This window comes from Homo sapiens, chromosome 12, assembly GCF_000001405.40.
Source record: "Homo sapiens chromosome 12, GRCh38.p14 Primary Assembly".
Lineage (NCBI taxonomy): Eukaryota > Metazoa > Chordata > Mammalia > Primates > Hominidae > Homo > Homo sapiens.
Window position 1 is genome coordinate 70,805,161 of NC_000012.12, and position 23,952 is coordinate 70,829,112.

Below are 23,952 nucleotides of genomic sequence, written 5' to 3' on the forward strand. Positions count from 1 at the left end.
ATATTTTAAAACATTTAATTAGATCTTACTGATGGACATTTATGCTGTTTCTATTTTATCCTGTAACATTCTTTTTGTACTTCTTGCAGTGCTTTCTTAGAATTTATAGAATTAGTTAAAATCAATGATTTTTGAGGGAGTTTATGTATATATGTATATGTATATATATAATTTTATTATTTATTATTATTTTTGGGACAGGATCTCATTCTGTGGCCCAGGCTGGAGTAGAGTGGTGTGATCATAGCTCCCTGAAGCCTGGAGTCAGCTATGATCCTGGGCTCCTGGGCTTAAGCGATCCTCCCACCTCATCCTCCCAAGTGGCTGGGACTACAAGTGGGCACCCCCATGGTGGGTTCCTTTTTTACTTTTTAAACTTGTGCAGAGATAGAGTCTGCCTATGTTGCCCAGGCTGGTTGTAAACTCCTGGTCTCAAGTGATCCTCCTGTTTCGGCTGGGACTTTTTATAATTTTGCCAAGTTGCCCTTCAGGGAGGTTGTAAAATATGAATTTCCATTAGCAGTTTATTAAACATGAGTTGTCTCATTTAATCCTTGCAACAACCAAATGTGGTAGATAATATTATTATTCCCATTCTAAGGATGAGGAAATTCGGATGCATTGCTCAAGATTATATAGGTTGTAAGTTGTAGAGTTGAAATTTAAACTGTGGCAGTTTGACTCCAGAGCCTATGCTCTTAATCACTAGGCTATATACACATATATAGTTCTAATATTAGAAAAATTATGTATATGTATTTCATATAGCATGTGTGGGTCTTGGCCAGAAACAGAATGTGGAATATAATTGTGCCAAAGCATAAAGTTCTTTATATGTAATATATAGACCTTTAAGTTCTGATGTGGTCTGCCCCCTGGCCAAGTGGTACAAAAGGCATTGATCTGGTAGATTTCTTACCCTCACAGGTCTGAGTTGACCAACCAACCAATTACAGATGTGTCTTCAGGAGGGAACAGGGAGAAACTAGAGCATTAGATCCATTCACTTGCATCCAAATCCTATGTATATTGGCTGCCTGTTTGGAAATCATTTCAAATGAAAGCAACCTTGAACTGGCTCTGAGTCATTACTCTAGACAGACTCTAGAGAGAGAGAGAGAACATTTCAGCATTTCAATAGAACCCACAGTAGGAGACATTGTGTGGCTACAGGAAAGTCTTGTTTGGGCTTAGTAGGTGATAAGATACGCAGTTTGACCATAGATATTGGCATATATACAAGATATAGTGGTTGGAAAGAATGAACAAGTAATGCAGGTTAGGTCCAAATCATCAAGGACCTTGATTGCTGGGCTATGGAGTTTGAGTTTGATTTTGTAAGTTCTGGGAAACTACTGAAAGTTAAACCATTTGTCAAAGCAATAAAGGTCCCCTATGAATGAACCTCAAAATCTGTTTGTAAATTCACAGCACATAACTTCCTTATAAAAACACTTGTACATTCTCTTAGATCCAGACATATCATACTACCATTTGCCTCTTCCTCAGACATGCCGTGCCATTTTTACTCCTATTGCCTTTCCATTGTTTATTCTGTTCGGAATCGTAGTTCCCATTTCCTTTACCAAATCTTACTTATCCCAAAATCCCCAACCTAAGTGCTACTTCCATGATCTTACTCTAAATCAGAAATTGCTCTTTTCCTGTCCTACAACTGATTTCTTTCTGTTTGATTTAGTTGTTCTATGTGGGGATAGTACTGGGAGATTGACCCCACAGAAATTCTCAAGTCCCTCCTTTTCTCTTGCCATTTCCCACAAGACGGGTTGGAAAAACTAAGTACTCATTTCTGCAGCCTTCCTTACAGCTAGGTGTGGTCACATAGCACAGTTCTGAGATGTCTGCAAGGAACTTAATAGGAAAGCTTATGTTTCCTTATAAGAAAGACATGCAGTAGAAGGGAACTCTTTGTCTCTTTCCCCTTCCTTCCTTAAACACTGACATGATGCTTAGAGATGTGCAGCTATTTTACAACCATGAAGTAGAAAGTACAAAGCCAGAAGGCACATGCAAAGGATAGACAAGTAAAGGGATGGGACATTGTTGAACTACTGCATCTACTCAGGACTGCTCATGTGTAGACTTCTTATATGTGAGAAGTTAAAATTATTTATTGCATCATCCTCTTAACTGAATTTGTTGGTTTTTGCTGCTGAATGCATTTCTAATAAATGTAATCTACTTGCCCACCTTTTAAAAAAATGCATTATTAAGAACTATAGTCATCATGTCATACAATAGATAGCTTGAACTTATTCCTCTTCACGAAATTTTGTATCTTCTAACCAATATCTTCTCCCCCCACCCCACCAGATACAATGTACTTGTCCATTTTTACCACTGGATTCTAAATTTTAGTTCAGTATATTTTAAATTCCTTGATGGAAAGTTTTAAGTATCTTACAGACCGGCTGAAGCCATGGCAGAAGAACATAAATTGTGAAGATTTCATGGACATTTATTAGTTACCCAAATTAACACTTTTATAATTTCTTACGCCTGTCTTTACTGCAATCTCTGAACATAATTTGTGAAGATTTCATGGACATTTATCACTTCCCCAATCAATACTCTTGTGATTTCCTATGCCTGTCTTTACTTTAATCTCTTAATCCCATCATCTTCATAAGCTGAGGATGTATGTCACCTCAGGACTCTGTGATGATTGCGTTAACTGCACAAATTGTTTAAACAATATCAAATCTGGGCACCTTAAGAAGAGGATAACAGCGATTTTCAGGGAACAAAGGAGATAAGCTTAAAGTCTGGCTGCCTGTGGGCTGGGCAGGACAGAGCCATATTTCTCTTATTACTGAAAACGGGTAAGAGAAGTATTGCTGAATTCTTTCCCCAGTAAGGAATACTAATAATTAGCAGCCCTGGGAAAAGAATGCATTCCCAGGGGAGGCCTCTGAAATGGCCACCCTGGGAGTGTCTGCTTTTATGCAGATGTAGATAGGGATGAAACACACCCTACTCTCCTGCAGCACCCCCAGGCTTGCTAGGATTAGGAAATTCCAGCCTGGCAAATTCTAGTCAGACTGGTTCTCTGCTCTTGAACTCTTTTAAGATGTTTATCAATGACAATGCGTGCACAGTGGGACATGGAAGTTCATTAGTGATTCTAGTTGCCCTGAACTTGTGATCTTGCCCTGCTCATCTGCCTTGTGATCTTTTGTTGCCCTTAAAGCATGTGATCTCTGTGACCCACACCCTATTTGTACACTCCCTCCCCTCTGAAAATTGCTAATAAAAACTTGCTGGTTTTACAGCTCAGGGGGCATCACAGAACCTGCTGACATGTGATGTCTCCCTTGGACACCCAGCTTTAAAATTTCTCTCTTTTGTACTCTCTCCCTCTATTTCTCAGACTGGCCAACACTTAGGGCAAATAGGAAAGGACTCACGTTGAATTATCGGAGGCAGTTTCCCCTGATACTACTGAAAGTTAGACCATTTGTCAAAGCAATAAAGGTCCTCTATGAATGAATCTCAAAATCTCTTTATAAATTCAGAGCACATAACTTCCTTATAAGCACACTTGTACATTCTCTTAGATCCAGACATATCATACTACCATTTGCCTCTTCCTCAGACATGCCGTGCCATTTTTACCCCTATTGCCTTTCCATTGTTTATTCTGTTCAGAATTGTAGTTCCCAATTCCTTTAACAAATCTTACTTATCCTAAAATCCCCAACCTAAGTGCTACTTCCATGATCTTCTTACTCTAAATCAGAAATTGCTCTTTTCCTGTCCTACAACTGATTTCTTTCTGTTTGATTTAGTTGTTCTATGTGGAGATAGTATAGGGAGATTGACCCCACAGAAATTCTCAAGTCCCTTCTTTTCTCTTGCCATTTCCCGCCAGAAGGGTTGGAAAAACTACTCATTTCTGCAGCCTTCCTTACAGCTAGGTGTGGTCACATGGCACAGTTCTGAGATGTCTGCAAGGAACTTAATAGGAAAGCTTATGTTTCCTTATAAAAAAGACAGGCAGTAGAAGGGAGCTCTTTGTCTCTTTCCCCTTCCTTCCTTAAACACTGACATGATGCTTAGAGATGTGCAGCTTTTGCAACCATGAGGTAGAAAGTACAAAGCCAGAAGGCAAATGCAAAGGATGGAGAAGTAAAGGGATGGGACATTGTTGAACTACTGCATCTACTCAGGATTGCTCATGTGTAGATTTCTTATATGTGAGAAGTTAAAATTATTCATTGTGTTAGCCTCTTAACTGAATTTGTTGGTTTTTGCTGCTGAATGCATTTCTAATAAATGTAATCTACTTGCCCATCTTTTAAAAATATGCATTATTAAGAACTATAGTCATTATGTCGTACAGTAGATAGCTTGAACTTATTCCTCTTCACTAAATTCTATATCTTCTAACCAATATCTTCTCCCACCACCCCACCAGATACAATGTACTTGTCCATTTTTACCACTGGATTCTAAATTTAAGTTCAGTATATTTTAAATTCCTTGATGGAAAGTTTTAAGTATCTTCATCTTTGTATTTATTTTTTGTTGATGAACTTTGAATACAGATCCTCAATAAATGCTAAATTGATTGAATATGGTTTCATCTATCAATACGAACAATTCAAATAAAAGTGTGAGAGAGAAACTAAACATGACCACTAAATAAACATTATGTAAAGTCGTACTTTTAAAAACGATATTCTGTGAAACATTTCTTTTAGATTTTAACTTTTCCCTTGTTGATATATTATCTAATTTTGGACAAAGGTGAGCTCAGAATGTTGCTGAGCCAGTTTCCACCTTATTTAGATGGACTTCGAAATGGAAAGCATATTAGCAATTTGTTTTCATAAGATATCCCACAAGGAAAGAATAAACAATCACCAGCAGTCATGTAAATACAGTGGGACTTTTCTAGTGACGTCATCATGTTTCACTATTTATCACTCCTCATTTGGACTATTCCCTTATAAATACCGCCAGGTAAGCATCAGATGGTTTGTGAAGCCTTAAAGAGCTACCCTGAAGTTATTTTCGGTAGCTCTGTCCCCAAAAAAACCTCAGCTAAAATTAATAAGCAATTGGTGCAGTTGAATGGGATGATTCAAAGCACATACAGTCCCTAGAATTTGCTTTGCAGAAGTCAGGTATAAAATGTCAAGTGGTAGAACAGCTCAGTGTGTATTTCCTAACATTAGGTAGTAATATTAAAAACACTTATTCTTTAAGAACGTAGACATAATATCATTACTTTCACAGAGGTCTTTTCCCTCATTTTCTAGGTACACGCAAAAATTAGTGGCAAAAGGTCAATGCATTAATCTCTTTGAGAGTCATCACTTAACTTTTAACAGTTATTTGATTATCAGTTTTAAAAGATCACTTTCTTGAATACTGAATTAATGCAACGATGTTACTGTTATGTATAATAAATATGAAAATCATACCAAAACCTTAAGTTGCCTGGAGGTGCTTACTGAGAAATCATTTCTCTGATAAATTGTTTGGAAGTTAAGTAGTTTCTCAACTAGAATGAGAATGCTCTAGTGAGAAATGTACCTAAAATTTTAAATGACAATGGCAATCTCAGTGCCATGCCTATTTCTTTCTCCTTAACAAAATAGCATGATTATATGTCTATCTTTCACAGAAAGACAAAAACTCTCTGAGCCAATTACCTTTAAGACCTCATATGTAAGAAAAGCAAACCTAATTGAAATGCGCTATGGCAATTCTATGACTGCACATCCTGTCAGCATTAACTAGGATTTGATTTAACTGATTATTCTCCTAAAGAGAAATGCATGTTAGTGAATGTGCAGTGAAGCGTTTAACAAAAAGTCAGTGTGCCCTTAGGTATCTTTGTGATTTCTCGGAGACAGTGAGGACCGTAGGATGTAGATTCCCTATAATAAAACCTCACATCAATAAAAACACAAGATAAAAAAAAGAGCAACTTCAGAGTAAATGTTAGATGTTTGCATTTGATGGACGCCACTGCAGTTTCTCAACCAATGCATAACAAACAAGGAAAGGTACTGTTCTGGAATAATAATTTCACGGGACATTATTATGAACTGACAGGTGCCTACAAAATATGACATTCTCATCTACATTTTATGTGGATTTTATGACAGAAGTTCAGTAAACATTCTCCCAAATGTGAAATTCTTTGGGCAGCTTTAAAAGCAAATGAAGACAGACATGATATTTGTAGTCTGGCTGGTTAAATAGGTGAAAGTATGCATTTTTAAGAATGCTTTGGCGGTTTTCTGAGAAAAAACTGCCTGCAAAAGGTTCAAAAGCAAATGCTATAGCTCTTAAAATAAATGCTTCTAAGTGAACACCATTAGGTAGAGGCAGGCCTCCATGCAAAACACAGCAGAAACCTTAGACCATCAACTCAGGCAACGCTGGTCTCCAGGCCACTTTCATTGTATATTCGCAGGTATCTGAAGCAAATGTAGGTTGTGTTGGATATTTATGATTGTTAACAATGTCAACATTTATTGAACCTTTTGCATGTACTAGTTCATTAAATTGTTCCCACACCCTGATGCAGTAAGATCTATTGCCATGTCCACACTACCAATGAGGAAGCAACAGATGAAGGGCAGAGAGGTCAGTGACTGGCCCAAGGTCAAATAGCTCTAAGCAGTGGACATAAGGCCCAATTCTACTGCTAAAACATTATTCATTGTGTTTTCTTGTACAGACTTTGCCTGATTCCAAAGCAGCCAATTAAGCAAAATTTTAATGATGTCATCTAGCACTGACTGATAGTCACAAAAAGATTTTCATGTTTTTATAATATTACCTTATTTTAGCTTTTCAGCTCACTTTAATCAAGAACTCCTTAAAAGAGGCATTGGTCAATTGGTAGGGATTGTCAAAGTGATCCCTCAGTCTTTCTGCTATGCAAGAACAGTTTACAATTCTGCTTTTCTATCAGTTGATCCTTACTGATCACTTTTTTTAGATTAGAAAAAATTAGAAAGCTACAAAATCTCAGAGGTGTTAGATTAGAAAAGTGAGTCCTCGGTTCTATAAGATGCTGTTGTAAATGGCAATATAATTGCACAAGAGACACTGGCAGTAGAGTGGGTGAAAGAAGCACCTCAGTAATGCATGAATCATTAACATGGGCAGCCACGTGACACCCAAAAGGGCAAGTTTCAGAGGTGCCACAATGCAAATTGTTCCAGAACATGAGAGCTTTCATGAAACATTAACACTGATTTACTATCCCAGGTGGACTACTCGTGAAAGTGCTTTAAAGGAGGGAGAGAGAAAAATCCACATGCCCACTCCATTTAATTCCTCAAGGAATAGGTTTATTTTCTGCCATGTGATCACCTCTAATAATACTGCAGCACTTTTAGAAAGGATAGATATGATTTCCCTAACCCACGTTTCCCATCTGAGAAACTGCAATAACAATTAACTATTAATGACAAGAAGAAAATAAGCTTTCTTTTCCCTTGGCAATCTGTCACAGTGAACTCCGCTGGTAGCTTGAGAAGCAGTTCGATGTGTTTATCTGTCAAAAGGATATCATCTTAGAGGTAAGAAAAGCACACTCTTCAGAAAAATGCCCTCCTTATGGATAAAACTAGAGCTAAATGTATTTTATTCTTGCAGATAGGTTTCCATTTTCATAAATCACAGACAGATTAAAAATTTCACTGAATAGAGTCAGAAACAGGAAAATTGTACCCCTGGCTTTCTGGAGCCATAAAATCAGCCCCCAGTTTAATTGCTTGCTCATTGAGCTATTCTGCTTTCTGAAAATCAATTTTGAGTATCAAATTAGTTTTAACTTTTCAAATCTGAGAGAAAGAATTTTAGAACTCTCCGACATAATTTGCTATACTTTGGATTGTCTCAAAATCATGACTGGAAACCACTTTATCCAAACTCTCTCTTGTATAATATGTGATCGCTTAACTTTTTAATACATGCAGCAGGAACTAAGCTTTTCATCTTTTTGCCCAAGCACATACATTCATCATCTTGTACATGGACATTGGCTAAATGAGATGCTACAACTTTTACCTAATTTTCTTCAAAATGTTGATATGCAATGTATAGTAAAATGTTAAGATTAAATGAAAACTCTACCATCTTTGCAAAGCCTTCTTAAAAAAGAGGATTAACTTTTGCATTGACCTATTACAGGTCCTTTGGGAAGCCTTCCAAAAATTCTGTGCATCTCAACGTGGATATTTTACGTTTTTGACAATAGAACTTAAACCTGTTAGAAATTTCCCTTTGAAATCATATATTCATCTCCTTTGAACTCAACAATTTTCTAAATACCATGCATATTGTGTTTCTTGAAATGTGAGAAGTTAGGAATTCCACTTGCAGGTGTCAAAGAGTAACAAGAACTGAGTTAGTGACTCTTCTGCCTTAAATGAGTATAAAACTAGACCAAATATGTGAAGCAAAAGTTTTCAGATGTTGGACAACAGGCAGCACAGGACAGTGATCCTTGAGAGGAGGAAATAGTGGGATGAGCGTCACCAGCACCTCAGCTTCCTGCCTGAAGAGAGGCCACACATCTCCCCAAGTTCAGAATTCAAAGAGGCCAAGGAGGCTAGAATTCTCAGGGCAGAGTACCAGAGAGCAGAGTGCTGTATGGAAAAGAGAGACCTACATAGAACGATCGCTTGCTCTACAGGGTTTTCCTGGAGTTTTCAGGTGAGTCCTGATCAGCACAAGGATGGGAGGAAGCTTCCTGAGGCAGGGGGAATAAAACCAACCAGAAAAGAACACGGGGAATAGTCCTCAGAGTTCACACAGGAATGGGGATAGTTCCTGTTTCCACCAGCCAGAGTATCAAAGCCTTATCATATACAGGGTACTGACAAGAGTATTCAGAATGACTTAGGCAAAATTAACCGTAGATCAGTGTCCATAAATTTTTTCTATAAAAGCTTATCTAATTTTAGGCTTTATAGTCTAAGAGGCAAAAGCAAATTTATTTTGTAGGTGCTTGCATAACAAGAGAGAAAACTCTTTTTCTCCCTCTTCCTCATTTGACCTAGAGGGGCAGGCTGTCCCTGTTTTGGGAATGCCTTGTCCTAATTGTCATCTGGGAATGTTCTTGGGATGAAAGTAACCAGCCTTAATTAAGGGGGAGGGCTTGCCCTTAAGATTGTGTGGGAGGGGAAGGGTGGTCACCTTGGGCGATTTTGTTCTCTGCCCAGTGACACCTAGATCCCGGTGCCCCTTTCTCTCCTCCCAGAGAGCCTGGCTGTCTTAACAGGGAAGACAAGCATCTAAAGGGAAGTTGGCTTGCTAAATTTCCCACTCCCAGATTGAGATTTCTACTGCATGTTGTTTGGCAGTTGCCAACAGGGAGGTCCCCAGCTTATAGTGGAGATCCAGCTTATAGTGGAGATCCTGAACAGCAGCAAGGCATGGCTGCTAGCAGGCTAGCAGGCTCTGGGAGTAGAGGGGGCCGGCCCGGCTTTGGCTTTGTCTCTGTGTTTCACAGTGCTTAGAGATGCCTTCAAGACATGAAAACAAACTGTAGGCTGAATGTAGGTAGCTTCTAGGCTGTAGTTTGACAACTCAGCTTTAGAGTAAACTGCTCTGGTTCCACCTAGCAAAGTTTAATGTAAGTCTCAAAAGAATTAAACTGGTTTTAAGTAACTCAATTACTTGGAAACATAATTAAAAATTTTAACAAAGCTCCAAATATTTGAAGGCATAAAAATATTTGGCACCCAACAAGGTACAATTCCCAATGTTTGGAATTCAATAAAAAGTCCCAGATATGCAAAGATTTAGGAAAATAAAACCAATAATGCAGAGAAAATAATAAAAAAAATAGAAAACAGACCAGAAATGATATAGATGATAGAATTTGTAGATAAGGGCATTAAAACAGTAATTACAACTACGCTCCATACACTTAATAAGTAGAAGAAAGTCTGAACATTCTAAGGAGAGATAAGATATCAAAAAAAAAAAAAAACCCACGTGTCACTTCTAGAAAAAAAATTGCAATGTCTAGAATAAAAAATGCAGGGGACAGGATTAACAGCTGATTAGACACTGGAGAAGAAGGGATTGGTAAGCTTGAAGACACAGCAATAGAAACTTTCCAAAATGAAACAGAAAAAAGATTGAAAAAGAATATGAACAAAGCCTCAGTTAGTTGTGGGACAAGCTTAAGTGGCCTAATAAATTGGTGGGGGGGAGTTCTTAAGTATATTTTAAGACATAATGGATGAAAAATCTATAAATTTAATAAAAGTCTTATAACCACATATGCAAGAAGTTCAATGAACCTAATGTAGAAATGTAAAGAAAACTGTAATACAGCACCTGATATACCGAACGGTTTTAAAATGTCAGAAGTCAGACTGTCATAATTGAGTTTACCGTTAATATAAGGAGGGTGAGGAAAGTAAGGATGTATGAGACTACTTGGGGGGACAGATTTAGCATCATGAAAATGGAGACTTCAAAGAGAATATAAAACTTCTGGTAGCTTCTATGTGTTAAGCATTTAGGTTGTTACTTCTGACTGAAATTATATGTTTTGAAGTTGGAAAATGATGTAAGGTCTCATTCATTGATTAACTCACTAACATTCATTTAACACACATTTGAGCTCTTATTTCTACAAAAGCACATTAGGACACATAAAAATGAAGAGCACCAACACTGGCCTCAGACAGCTGATAATCTAGTTAACTTCCAAGTGCTATGGCCTAAACAATTTTACAAGTGTTTGACAGACACATATATAGCTTTTAGCTGTTTTTTCCCTATTTCCTTGTCACATATTGCGATGAACATGAAATTACAACTAATTTAAAAGAAACACTCTTTCCTGAGTTATCTACGTCTTCTTAATGTGTGAAATCATCCTTTAGGAGGACTGAGGGAGTGGCATTGTTTACGGTAAAAATAGTTTTCCATTTAGTCACCTCTTTAATTCATTATTCTTTACCTTTAGCACAAATGTTTCCTGAAGTGTCTTATCTAAAACTTTATGACAAGCAAAAAATGTAAGAGTCACACTGTGGTGCACAAATATTTATAAACAAATATGAAATAAATGAGTACACCCCAGGAAAATGATCCTTACCTAGGAGTATATGCAAATATGAAAATGAATGCACATTCCTCAAGAAAAATATGACCTTTAAACAGGTCTATGTACTATAGTAGTAGTCACCACCATAAAACAATAACCTGGAATAGATAATGAAACATAAAATAGTTCAGCCTTGAAGATAAGTCCTGGCCCAAGGAAAGCATGGTGCAAGAACCCCAAGGATTGTTCAAGATAATTCATTGAAGTGAAAAAAAACATTCAAAATTTATTTATATTTATTTTTATTTGGCTCCTTAAAATTTTATTTTTGGTAAGTTTTATAATAAACATGTAATACTAGTATACTAGTAATACTTTTATAAATAAACCAGCACATATGCATTAGAGATATAAAATTTTTTTTAAACATATGTGGTGTGTGACCAAAAACATCCAGAAACCACAGGTCTAGACAAGTTATCTTTAAGCATTATTAGAAACAGAATCTTTTTTTAATAGAAAATCTTATGTAAAATCTCAATAACAAGAGAAAAACAGTATTTATTTAAAATATTTTAAAATAGAAACTATGTTTTTCAACTTCTAAGTTACAATGTTTGATTTTAACAAAATCATCCAGAAATTGATGAAGATGATTCGATTTTAAGTGAATGATTATGGACAGCTGTAGTATTTTATCAGCCTCAGCTTCTAGGTTTATTTCTATGAATTCTGCAATATTTATAGAATGATCACAGTCTATTAACAGGTCATCTCATCCTGTTAATGTCTCATCCTGTCTCAGTGCTATATAGATCTCCAACACTACTAGTACTGCTAAATAGATGGGTGAACAAATGAATGAATACTATTATGTGTTATACTTTTTAATTCAATAAGGTAGCAGAAGACACTTTAAGGTCACTTTAAACTATTTTAAAAAAGTAACACCTATGTTAAAGTTTGATACATGGCAGCCCACAAACACTTTAATGTGTTTTAAAAGTTTTAAAAGTTACTTAAAGAGCTTAAAATATATGAAAAATTAAGTAAAAATCAAATATTTGCAGACTTTTTCCTTTTTGTTGCTACAAAAGATAGAATAGAGAAAGATGCCAATGGATAAGGTCTGTATATTAAGTAATAGTATTGTATCAACGTTATTTTCCTTATTTTAATAATTGTTTTATGGATATAAAAGAGAATGGTCTTGTTCTTAGGAACCATACACTGAACTACTTAGAGGTAAAGAGCCATAATATCTGTAACACATTCTCAAGTAGTTAATTTTCATCTATTTTTGAGTCAAAATTCACAACTTAAACCATGTTGAATGATCTGCTCAAGAGCTAACTATTAGGTGCCACTCTACTACTTTTATACACAGTCTTGTTGAACAGGCTGAGAAAAGATTGAGAGTGATTCCAAAGGAAATGCCGGTTCAAAATGATTGTTCTGAAGAACACCAGGCTGTTGTTCAGACAGTGCCACATCCTCTAAGAAAGGAGATGTGAATACTTCACGAGATATGTTTGTCAATAAGAGATACATTTGATACAGACCCACAAGCACATGCACATATAACTTAAGATGTCACTCAGTTTATTTGACCTAAACCATTTATAGCTTTAATAGCTTTCTGAAATTATCTTTTTAAAATTAGTTTATAACTTTATTGCCTTTCTACCACATACTAGAAAGTCAATTTGGTTGGCCAGGTGCAGCGGCTCACGCCTGTAATCCCAGCAGTTTGGGAGGCCGAGGAGGTCGGATCATGAGGTCAGGAGCTCGAAACCAGCCTGACCAACATGGTGAAACCCCATCTCTACTAAAAATACAAAAATTAGCCGGATGTGGTGGTGCCTGCCTGTAATCCTAGCTACTCAGGAGGCTGAGGCAGGAGAATCTCCTGAACCCAGGATTGAGGCAGTTCAAGCTCTTGAAATGCAGAGGTTGCAGTGAGCCAAGATCATGCCATTGCACTCCAGCCTGGGTGACAAAGTGAAACTCCGTCTCAAAAAAAAAAAAAAAAAAAGAAAATAAATTTGTGAGACAGGACATACACACACAGATATGTGCCTCTCTCTCTATCTATCATCTATCAACTATTTATTTATTGAGAAAGAGAAAGAAGAAGAGAGAGAAGGATAGGTAGCTGATAACATCAATGTAAAACATTAACAATGGGGAATCTAGATGAATATAAGCGTACTATGGGAATATGAGAGCATTATTCTCACACTTTTCAGAGAGCTTGAAATTATTTAGAATCTAATATTATTTGAAAATTATTTGAGATCATTGCAGAAGAAGATTGAACTTGAGAATCTTGAAAGGAGTTATGTAGAATGAGGCTAATATGATTGAAAATTATGAAGTTTCTTTATGTCTTACAGTGATTTAAGTCATGGTTGGCTCATAGTTGTCATGTTGCCTTAGAGGCCTGTTTCATTCTATCTTATAGAATACTTTACCAAAAATCTGTGTCAAATCACTTTAAAGGTAACAGATATTCAATCAATTTTAAGATATTTATATTAAAGATATTTTCAGAAAAAAATAAAAGAAATAAATAATGATTTAAAAACTCACTTCACAGGTATCTATTCCAAAAAAAAATCATGGTAAGCCAAAGATCAATTTTAGATTTTTTGTCTTTTCTCTACTTTTGAATAAAAGTGAACAGCCTTATCCAAACTTGTAATTTGATTAAATTCTACAAACATGTACACAAATGAAGAAGCATGAACCCTGTCTACAAGGAGGTCACAATCTTCCACAGAAGAGGAGGAGTAAAATAGGGTAAAAAATAAAGAGAAGGTCAGGTGTGGTGGCTCACACCTGTAATCCCGGCATTTTGGGAGGCCAAGGCAGGCAGATCACTTGAGATCGGGAGTTTGAGACCAGACTAGTCGACATGGTGAAACCCCATCTCTACTAAAAATACAAAAATTAGCCAGGTGTGGTGGCGCATGCCTGTAGTCCCAGCTACTCCGGAGGCTGAGGCATGAGGAGGTGCAGGTTGCACTGAGCTGAGATTGCACCACTGCGCTCCAGCCTGGGTGACAGAGTGAGACTCTGTCTCAAAACAAACAAACAAACAAGAAAGAATAAAGAGCAAAAATAGACATTGGCTCATAGAGGTATGGTCAAATTGTGCATTTATGGGCTTCATATGTTTTGCAAAGTATTTATGGTCAGGGTTAGAAATGGAGTCAAAATTACAAATCAATGAGCTGTAATTTGAGGGGCTGCTGGAAGATTCCATCTGCTCAAAATTTTCACTTCAATTTATTACACATTGCCTGAGACTACTATAGAATGAAAATGTCTCATAAGATGTAGACCAGTAAGTCACTATTCTCTCATGGAAATCTCTTTATTCAGGTGTTTTGGTCTTCATGATATCTAGAAGAGGATTTTAAAGAAAAAGCAGTTTGGGAAGATCAAGGGTAATTTGGACATAGAATGGAAGAATTGGGTGGAATCCTGGAAGGAACAGAATACAGAGACTCAGAAAGGGAGGATGGCCGAGAATACACATTGCCTCTTTATGCATTGCTTTTGGTCAAACTTATTTGTACAATGGCATTAAATTGTCCAATAATATAAATGTGTACACTTTCTACATCATAGAATAATGTAAAGATATTTTCTGTGTTCAGTCTAAACTACAGCTATGAAGAGAAGTTCTTCAATTATGACAATCTAATTTTATGAAATGTGAGAAAAGATCAACTATTTTTTGAAACCTTAAGCCAAAAAATTTAAAGAAAGAATAAAAAGCTATATTTATATTTGGGATAAAGAATATTAGAAATAGGTTGAAATAATATGAAAGAAATGTAACATTTTTTATGAAAGCATACTGGCTGTGCGCAGAAATGTATGGAGGGGTGAGTTTATTTATGCATACATCAACAACAAGGCTTGGCATTTATAATTTAATCCATAATAATGACTTGCTTAAAAATAATCACTAGACACCACTCTGTTCTATTGTCTTGGCAGAAAATGATACTCAATAGTCTGGGAAAAGACTGAGAGTGATTCCTAACAGAGACTCTCTTCTTGATAAAACTTCAGACAGGCTCCCCTGAGCTCTTTTTTCTTTTTTCTTTTTTTGGTGAGATGGAGTCTCACTCTGTCGCCCAGGCTGGAGTGAGTGCAGTGGCGCGATCTCGGCTCACTGCAAGCTCCGCTTCCCGAGTTCACGCCATTCTCCTGCCTCAGCCTCCCGAGTACTTGGGACTACAGGCGCCCGCCACCACGCCTGGCTAATTTTTTGTATTTTTAGTAGCGACGGAGTTTCACCATGTTAGCCAGGGTGGTCTCGATCTCCTGAGCTCGTGATCTGCACATCTTGGCCTCCCAAAGTGCTGGGATTACAGGCGTGAGCCACTGCGCCCAGCCACTGTTTTTTCAATGAGGTCTCATCCTTGGGCTCTGCCTTTGGCCAGGCAAGAGGAGTTTCAGCAAGAATCCTGTTAAGCCAGTTTAGAGAGAATCCCCACTTGGTATCTTATCACTTTCATTTTCTGATCAAGTTCCTCATTCTTTACCTTTGAGTCCTTAGCCTGCCTTCAGCAAGAGTCCTGTTGTTTTAGCAAGAATCACACCACTCCACTTTTCCTATCTCCTCTTAGTAATTTACTATTCACTGACCCTTCACTCTCCTTGCTGGGTATAAGTCCTCAACTCTCTTTGTTGTATTCAGAGTTAAGCACAATTTCTCTCATCTTTCACAATTGTCTTGACATCAAATGCAGTAGTCCTGAATAAAGTTTTTCTTACTGTTTTAACAAGGGTCAAAATAAATTTTTCTTTAGCTCTCCAAAGTAAATGTGAATGCAAAAAGATTAATGAAGAAAAAATACTAGACTGGTTGTCCATATAGGACGATGTCCTCCAAGAAAGGAGATGTGCTTCTTTCAAGAGATACATTTGTCAATATTGCCCATATAAATGCAAAACATGTTGAAAGGGATCACTGCTTTTTTTTTTTTTTTTTTTTTTTTTTTTTAGGACAGAGTTTCACTCTGTCCCCCAGGCTGGAGTGCAGTGGCACAATCTTGGCTCACTGAAACTTCCGCCTCCCGGGTACAAGTGATTCTCCTGCCTCAGCCTCCTGAGTAGCTGGGATTACAGGCACACACCACCACGCCCAGCTAATTTTTTTGTATTTTTAGTAGAGATGAGGTTTAACCACTTTGGCCAGGCTGGTCTCGAACTCCTGACCTTGTGATCTGCCCACTCCGGCCTCTCAAAGTGCTGGGATTACAGGTGTGAGCCACTGTGCCCGGCTGCGATCACTCTTTTATTGCCTTGACCTCAGGCAGGAATAAGTTTGGCGTGCTTAAGAACTAGCAGAAAGGCTAGTGCAGCTGGAGCTTACTCTGTGAGGGAGAGCGTGGGGAGAAACCTATGTATGTATGTATGTACGTATGTATTTATTTTTTTGAGATGGAGTCTCACTCTGTCGCCCAGGCTGGAGTGCAGTGGAACGATCTCGGCTCACCACTGCAAGCTCCGCCTCCTGGGTTCACGCCATTCTCCTGCCTCAGCCTCCCAAGTAGCTGGGACTACAGGCGCCCGCCACCACGCCTGCCTAATTTTTTGTATTTTTAGTACAGATGGTGTTTCACTGTGTTAGCCAGGATGGTCTTGATCTCCTGACCTCATGATCTGCCTGCCTCGGCCTCCCAAAGTGCTGGGATTACAGGCATGAGCCACCACGCCCGGCCGAAACCTATGTATTTATTAAGTGAGGGAAGTATTTGTTGACATGTTTGATTTCTGTGGTTAATGTGTAGAATTCCAAATGCTGGTAGAAAGATCAACCTTAACATTCCAGGAAGTTCTCACCTATTTAATAAGCATTTAATGAGCATCACTGTATACAAGGCATGGTGTTGGATGTTGCAGAAAATGCAAAGGAAAGGCTGTATTGAACATATGACACTTTAACCTAACATGGAGAACAGAGAACACAGAAAGTGGTATAAAACCTGAACAGTCTGGAATTATCAATTGGAATCCATACAAGTGAATGGTAACAACAGCAGACAGCAAGGATTTCCCTAGAAAATGGATTAGGCTTGCAAAACATACCACAGAGAGCTACGTTTTTCTGCATTTGTAGAAACAAATAATTTGTGCTGCCAGAGGAAGACAGTGGAAATTAATGCCAGAACTCAGGTTTAATTTTCTCTCAAATAAAAAATAATAATTATAATATTCATGAAAAACATGTGTCATGCCCTGTAGAGGCTCAGCCAATTATTCATTTATTCATAATTTTGTGTCTCTGGTATCAGACACATGGTGGGGAAGCAGCAAGAGGTGCCAGGATTCTGCATGAAATTAGATGGCAAGCCATGGAGCCGTCTCCCTCCCAGCTCACATTTATATAAATAACTCCTCCCACCTTCCAGGCAGGATTTGAATGAATGCAGAGGAAGGAAATTAAATCACTCTATCCATCAATATCAAGGCAGGGTTGCCAATAAATGCATCCAACAGAAAGCATTTTAAAATGCTCTTTTAGCCTGTAGAAAGTTGCCGCTATGGAAAAGACATGGACTTCATACGACCATAATTTATTGAAATGTCCTCTCATCTCTTAATTTATTGGTAGATTAGAGCGTAATGTTAATAAAATTAAGGTCATAGGGCATAATCCTTTTTCAGACCTTTTTTTGGGTGTGCATTTCTCATCCTTGGGTAGAACCCTTTCCTCTAAAGCCCAATTAAAAAAAAAGTCAAGTGAAACCAAACATTTTGGGGGCTTATCTCCTTTTCCCTTAAGTTTTGCTTTCTTTGCCTTTCCCTCAGCAACACAAAGTTCTCTCTCTCTCTTTTCTCTTCTCTCTTGCTGTCTCTCTCTCTGACACACACACACACACACACACACACACACACACACACACACACACAGAGTTGTCGTTTTTCTTTCTGAAATAACACGACTGGTTCTACAAGATTACCCAGCAGTTTAAGACTGCCTTTTAGTTAAACTAGAATAAGAGTGAAACAAAAGAGATTGATCAAAGAAAGGATGGCAGGCTCCTGAAACACATTGACCCACAGTACGGCAGAGCAGTGACAGAAATATCTGCTCTGTAGAAACCTGGACACTGCTGTCAAGTGACATGGAAGCATCCAGCCTAGCTGACCACTGTATCTCATGGAAAGTAGAGCAAGTGATTAGAAGTAAAACTGCCCTGAATCGAATTCTGAAACAGTGTCAGAATTATCAGCTCCTCCTCTATATTCCCAGAGTGCCCTACACTTATTTTTTGTTACTGTGTGTTTTTTTTGTTTTGTTTTGTTTTTTAACAACTTGTACTTATTATGTTCCTCTCCTAACTCTCTTGGCTTAGCTTGGAGCTCCCTCTCCCTTCCTTACAGTTCCTGCAGTGTGGGGCAGCAAGAAAGATGGCCTAGTTCTCTGGAAGAGAACAAAGGGCTGACCTTGCTTAGGGAGGTGGCAGCTGCCTGCCAAGGGACAGGTCCTTGTCTGAGAGAGTTAGGAGCACACGGAGGATTCAGAGGCAGGAAGGCAGGGCCAGCAGCAGCCAAGAGAGGGCCAGTGAGGGCCGAACTAGATAGAAAGGGGCTGCTCCTGGGTCTTGTAAGCGGGATGTGCTACTCGGCCTGTGGGCCCTACTTCAACTGTCTAAGGGGCCATAGTGGTGGGTAGTGAGGCTCTGAGGAGGGGCAAGTAGTGGTGGCAATTGAGCAGTGAGGGAGACACAAGGGGAAGGTATGAGTCAGGGTTCTTCTCAGCCTGGGAAAAGAAACCCCTCCTTCCTCAACAACGGTTCACAGAACCCTTAGCATTGATACACTACTCTGGGCCAGAGGTCCCAACGTTAGACAGACTTATTGGGAAACCGCCCCAGGTTAGGCGCTCTTCTTCTGTGTCCTTGGAACATCGCTTAGTCCTTACACAGCAGCTCAGCATGCTGTGTTGTAGTTGCGTAATTATAAACCTTTTAATAGAGGGGCTGTATTGTATTCGCTCTTATGTCCTTAAAGCCTAGCATGGCACCTACCATATAGTAATCACTTAACAAATACTTTTCTTTTTTGGTAAATGCTTCTCAAGTAGAAACAAATACTTTTTCAATCAGAGGAATACATAATTTTGAGCAGGACAATCCTTTAATTTTTTTTTAAAATGTAAGAAATAATCATACTATAAAATTTGTCATCTCCATCAAGAAACCATGGTAGCTAAAGGCTACTGTGAAGGAATTAAATAAAATTGTATTTGATTGTCTCAAAAGGGCATTAACATACATGTGAAAATACCATCCCACCTACATTTCAGCCTGGATTACAGACAATGCTTGGTTCCCAAATGGATCAGCATTCTCTTGAATGACCCTGATTTTAGTAGTTGCCTGTACAGGGAGAAGCCACAGTGTGTCTGGTGGTGTCAGCTGCTGGTTCGTGTTGCTTTCCTTATCCTTCCAGTGCTAGAGAGCAAATATTTGGCTATGCCTTTGTCGGGATGGGGTTGGTGGGGGCGGAGGGATATCTGTGTAAGAGTAAAGATGAAAAAAATCACCATTCCTTCGGGACTAAACAAAGCTGACTCTCACATACTGCTTTGACAGTGGGCTTGCTAGAATTAACAATCATGAACATCTTAAGTGCTTATTAAGATTTCATGGACTATTCTAAGTGCTTTACATACTCCTCACAGTAACCCTGCTAGGTAGGCAATATCGTTGCTCCATGTACAGTCAAGAAAGCTGAGTAGAAATCTTAAGTTAGGCTGGGCGCGTTGGCTCACGCCTGTAATCCCAGCACTTTGGGAGGCTGAAGGGGGTGGATCACAAGGTCCGGAGTTCGAGACCAGCCTGGCCAATATGGTGAAACCCTGTCTGTACTAAAAATACAAAAATTAGCCAGGCGTGGTGGGCCTGTAGTCCCAACTACTCGGGAGGCTGAGGCAAGAGAATCGCTTGAACCCAGGAGGTGGAGGTTGCAGTGAGCCAAGATAGCGCCACTACACTCCAGCCTGGGCGACAGAGCAAGATTCTAGTCTCAAAAAAATAAAAATAAAAAATAAAAAAATAAATAAATGTTAAGTTACTTGTCAAAATTCACTTACAGAGTAAGTGACGGAGGCAGGATTGCAATCCAGACAGCCTGGCCCAAGAGTGCCCACTCACAATCACTACACAATCCTGCTGCATGTGCAAACTGCATCCAAATCCAAACACATACCTCTTGATACCACAGAGCCAGAATCAGCCCTCTACCACCCAAAATGTGGATTTAGTGCTAATGGAGAAAAGAGGCCTGGGCCTGCCTTAAAGCATTTAGAGATGGAGTCATCTGGTCTTTTCTCAAATCCCTTTCCCTCTATTAGACCTCCTCAAGGCCTGGGTTGGAATTACTCTCCCACTCATTCCTCAGTGTTACCTCTCTAATATCCTTGTTACAGACTCTGTTGCACGGTGCTCCCTTGTGGGCTCCCTGTCGCCTCATTGGATGTTTACTTCTAAAGGGCAGGAAGTGTGTCTTTACCATCTTATATCGCCCTCAGTTATCTAGCACTGTGCCTGGTATGAAAAAAGTCTTCAATAAATTGGGGGAAGAAGCAATGGATATAAAATAACAACGTAAGGCAAAGTGGCTCCCACGTTACAGCTGGTATTGTAGCAATCCTGCTGTTTTTGGGCTAGAAAACATATCACAACTCTTTTTATAACATATTTTTAAGCTTTTATAAGTCTTCATCTCATGATTCATATAAATTGATTATTGATCTTTTCAGAAACTAAATTTCTCTATGACAGGGGATTTTAAACATTTTTAATATAAGACTTTCTGGAGTTCTGAGTGAGCCTCTGCTAGAGAAGGAGGAATGGAGAGAGGGAAAGAAGAAGGGAGAGAAAGAAGGAGGATAGGGAGGGGTAGGAAAGCAAGAGAAATATCAGTGTTATCAAAATCCTAGATTATTACTGAGAAGAAAGCTGAAATTTTGTTAACACCTTTCCTCCAATTAATCCGGAAATGGAATAGTGCTAATAGGGTGTGGAGAGAAGCAGTGAGGTGCAAATGGAACGGTGATAGTGGGAAAGGTGAGAAGAGGGTGGGAAGGGCTGGGCATTTACACCCATCTCATTGCGGCCCAGTGACAGAGATGGGGCTCATGCTGAGCACAACTTGTGCTAATGAGCACTGCTGCCTTATCTGCTCCCAACCCCTTCTGGGAACTCCTTGAAATTGCTACTCAATAGCACTTAGGAAACACTTGCTATAAATCATATAGAACCAAGAATCCAGCCCCATGACAGGATGCATACAGCTAGGCACAATTAGAGACAAGGTTTTCCCCAAACAGTTCTAATCTAAAATATTCTGTCCTGGTCACCCTAGAAGCACGTGTAAACTTGTCAATCCATGTGCTTTGATTTTTATTTGAAAATATATTCAACAGAAACTAATGACATGAATACTCTGAGATAGGACTGGCTGCAAAACATGTATGGCGTTCACTAGTCCTTTGCTCCGGATAATGTCAATACTCTGCCAAGACTCTCCAGTGACTTTTACTAGCTCCAGAAGAAAATCTAAAATCCTTGCCTCATCCTCAAGGCTCTATTGGATCTGATCCCTCCTCCTCTACCCTTTAATCACTGCCTCCCAGTGACACTGGCCTGCTTTCTGTCCTGTGAACATGCCAAACCTGCACCTGCCTCAGGGGTTTTGGCCTTGCTCTTCCACCCTCCTAGAATGTTCTTCCACTTGAAGCCATTTACAGTGGGCTCCTTCTTATGGTTCAGACTTGGATTCAGATGTTAGCTCCACAGGACACCTTTTCTTACAGCCAAACCTCAGCTAGCACTATCCCCTCCCCAGATACTTTCTTGGGCATGGCCCTCTAATATCACCTTCATGGCATTTATCATGATCTATAATCACCTTATTTACAGGTTTAGTTGTTTATTTTCTGTTTTCCTCACTGGAATATAAGTTACAGTGGGGCAGGGCCCATGTCTCTCCAGCTGCTAGGATAGTGTCTAGCACATAGCAGGTACTTAATAAATGAATAGTAGGTATCCGTCTTGATCATTTTGGACTGATATAACAAACTGCTCTAGACTGAGTGGCTTAAAAATAACAGAAATTTATTTCTCAGAGTTCTGGAAGCTGGAAGATCTAGATCAAAGTGCTGGTAGAGTCAGTGTTTGGTAAAGGCCCAGTTCCTCGTTCATAGACAGTTGTCTTCTTGCTGGGTCCTCACACAGTGGAGGGGGTAAGGGAGCTCTCCAGAATATCTTTTCTTTTTTCTTTCTTTCTTTCTTTCTTTTTTTTTTTCTTTTTGACAGAGTCTCACTATGTTACCCAGGCTGGAGGGCAGTGGCATGATCTCGGCTCACTGCAACCTTTTTCTTCCAGGTTCAAGCAATTCTCCTGGCTCAGCCTCCTGAGTAGATGGGATTATAGGTGCCTGCCACCACACCTGGCTTTTTTTTTTTTTTTTTTTTTTTTTTGAGATGGAGTCTTGCTCTGTTGTCCAGGCTGGAGTGCAGTGGCACAGTCTCGGCTCACTGCAACCTCCACCTCCTCCTGGGTTCAAGCAATTCTCCTGTCTCAGCCTCCCGAGTAGCTGGGACTACAGGCGCCCACCACTACACCCAGCTAATTTTTTGTGTTTTTAGTAGAGACGGGTTTCACCATGTTGGCCAGTCTCACTTGAACTCCTGACTTCAAGTGATCTGTCTGCCTCAACCTCCCAAAGTGTTGGGATTACAGGCGTGAGCCACCATGCCTGGCCCAGAATTTCTTTCATAAGGGCGCTAATCCCGGTCATGAAGGTTCTGCTCTCATGACTTGATCACCTACCAAAGTCCCTACATTGGGGATTAGGTTTCAACATATGACATTCTGAGGGACATACATATTCAGTCTGTAACAGTATCTAATAAATAGATTTGATAAATAAAACTGTCTTGTCCCCTTTAGTAGTTAAACACAGTGTTAAGGACATAATAAGCCTCAGAAATTTGTCTCCACATTCCTTTTCTTGCCCTTTGATCTGCTCCTTTGTCCTTTGGGAACTTCTCACTTGTCGTTTTGGTTCTTCAGCCCCTGAACTAATATTGTCTTACAGAAAAAACACATTCTTCAGTCCACATATAGTTATACTAACTCCTGCAATATTCAAAGATTACATCTAAGTAGCCCTCTCTTGGGAATGGGGTAAGTGGGAGAAGAAAATATCTTTAAATGGAAAGAGAATTAGATGCATTTTGGCTTCATTTTTCTCTTTGCACATTTCCACAAGACTCATAAACCACAGGCTGTAGGAAGGCAGAGAGGTTACTCAGCTGGCCATAGTCATTCCCAGGCTTACCCTTGGCCATGTTATTATTTCTCAGTATGTAGTACTTTCTTATGCATATTATATGCAGTGATTCATATCGATTCTTATTAGCTAGAAGAATGTGGTTAGCTTTCTGAATGTATTCGAACTCTGATTCCTCTATGTCTGCCAACAAATGCAAAGCAGCACCTAAAACAACTTGTCTTGTTATAAATTTCTCAGAATAAACCACTTAATGTTGATAGTGTCGTGTGACTAAATCCTTTATTTCTCACATTTGTGGGGCGGGGGACTCAACATGAAAGCCAGGTCTTCTAATTCATGATATTTACTCATTTGAAATAAACATTTACTGCAAACCTTCTATATTCCAGGCAGCAGGCAAGGTGCCGGGGATACAAAGTCTAATGAGAGATGCTTCTTTCATATTTTCAAGGATCTTGTACTCTAAACCTATGAATATAGTCCACAGAGACTGTGGACTGTGATGGAGACATGCATAGGGAACTATGGACACATGAAACATCAGTTCCCCTCAGACAGG

General features: G+C 39.0%; 1 protein-coding gene across 3 annotated transcripts in view, besides 1 other annotated feature; it reads right to left on the reverse strand.

Moving 5' to 3' along the window:
* The window catches only part of PTPRR (protein tyrosine phosphatase receptor type R), a 282,666-nt gene that overhangs the window by 167,088 nt on the left and 91,626 nt on the right, over nucleotides 1–23,952 (reverse strand). The gene's annotated exons all lie outside the window — the stretch shown is intronic.
* Nucleotides 18,075–18,275: a silencer, noted in NCBI's record as "peak1808 fragment used in MPRA reporter construct". NCBI's record gives its function as "represses an SCP1 promoter by STARR-seq MPRAs in K562 erythroleukemia cells {active_cell/tissue: K562}" and the evidence as "EXISTENCE:reporter gene assay evidence [ECO:0000049][PMID:32103011]".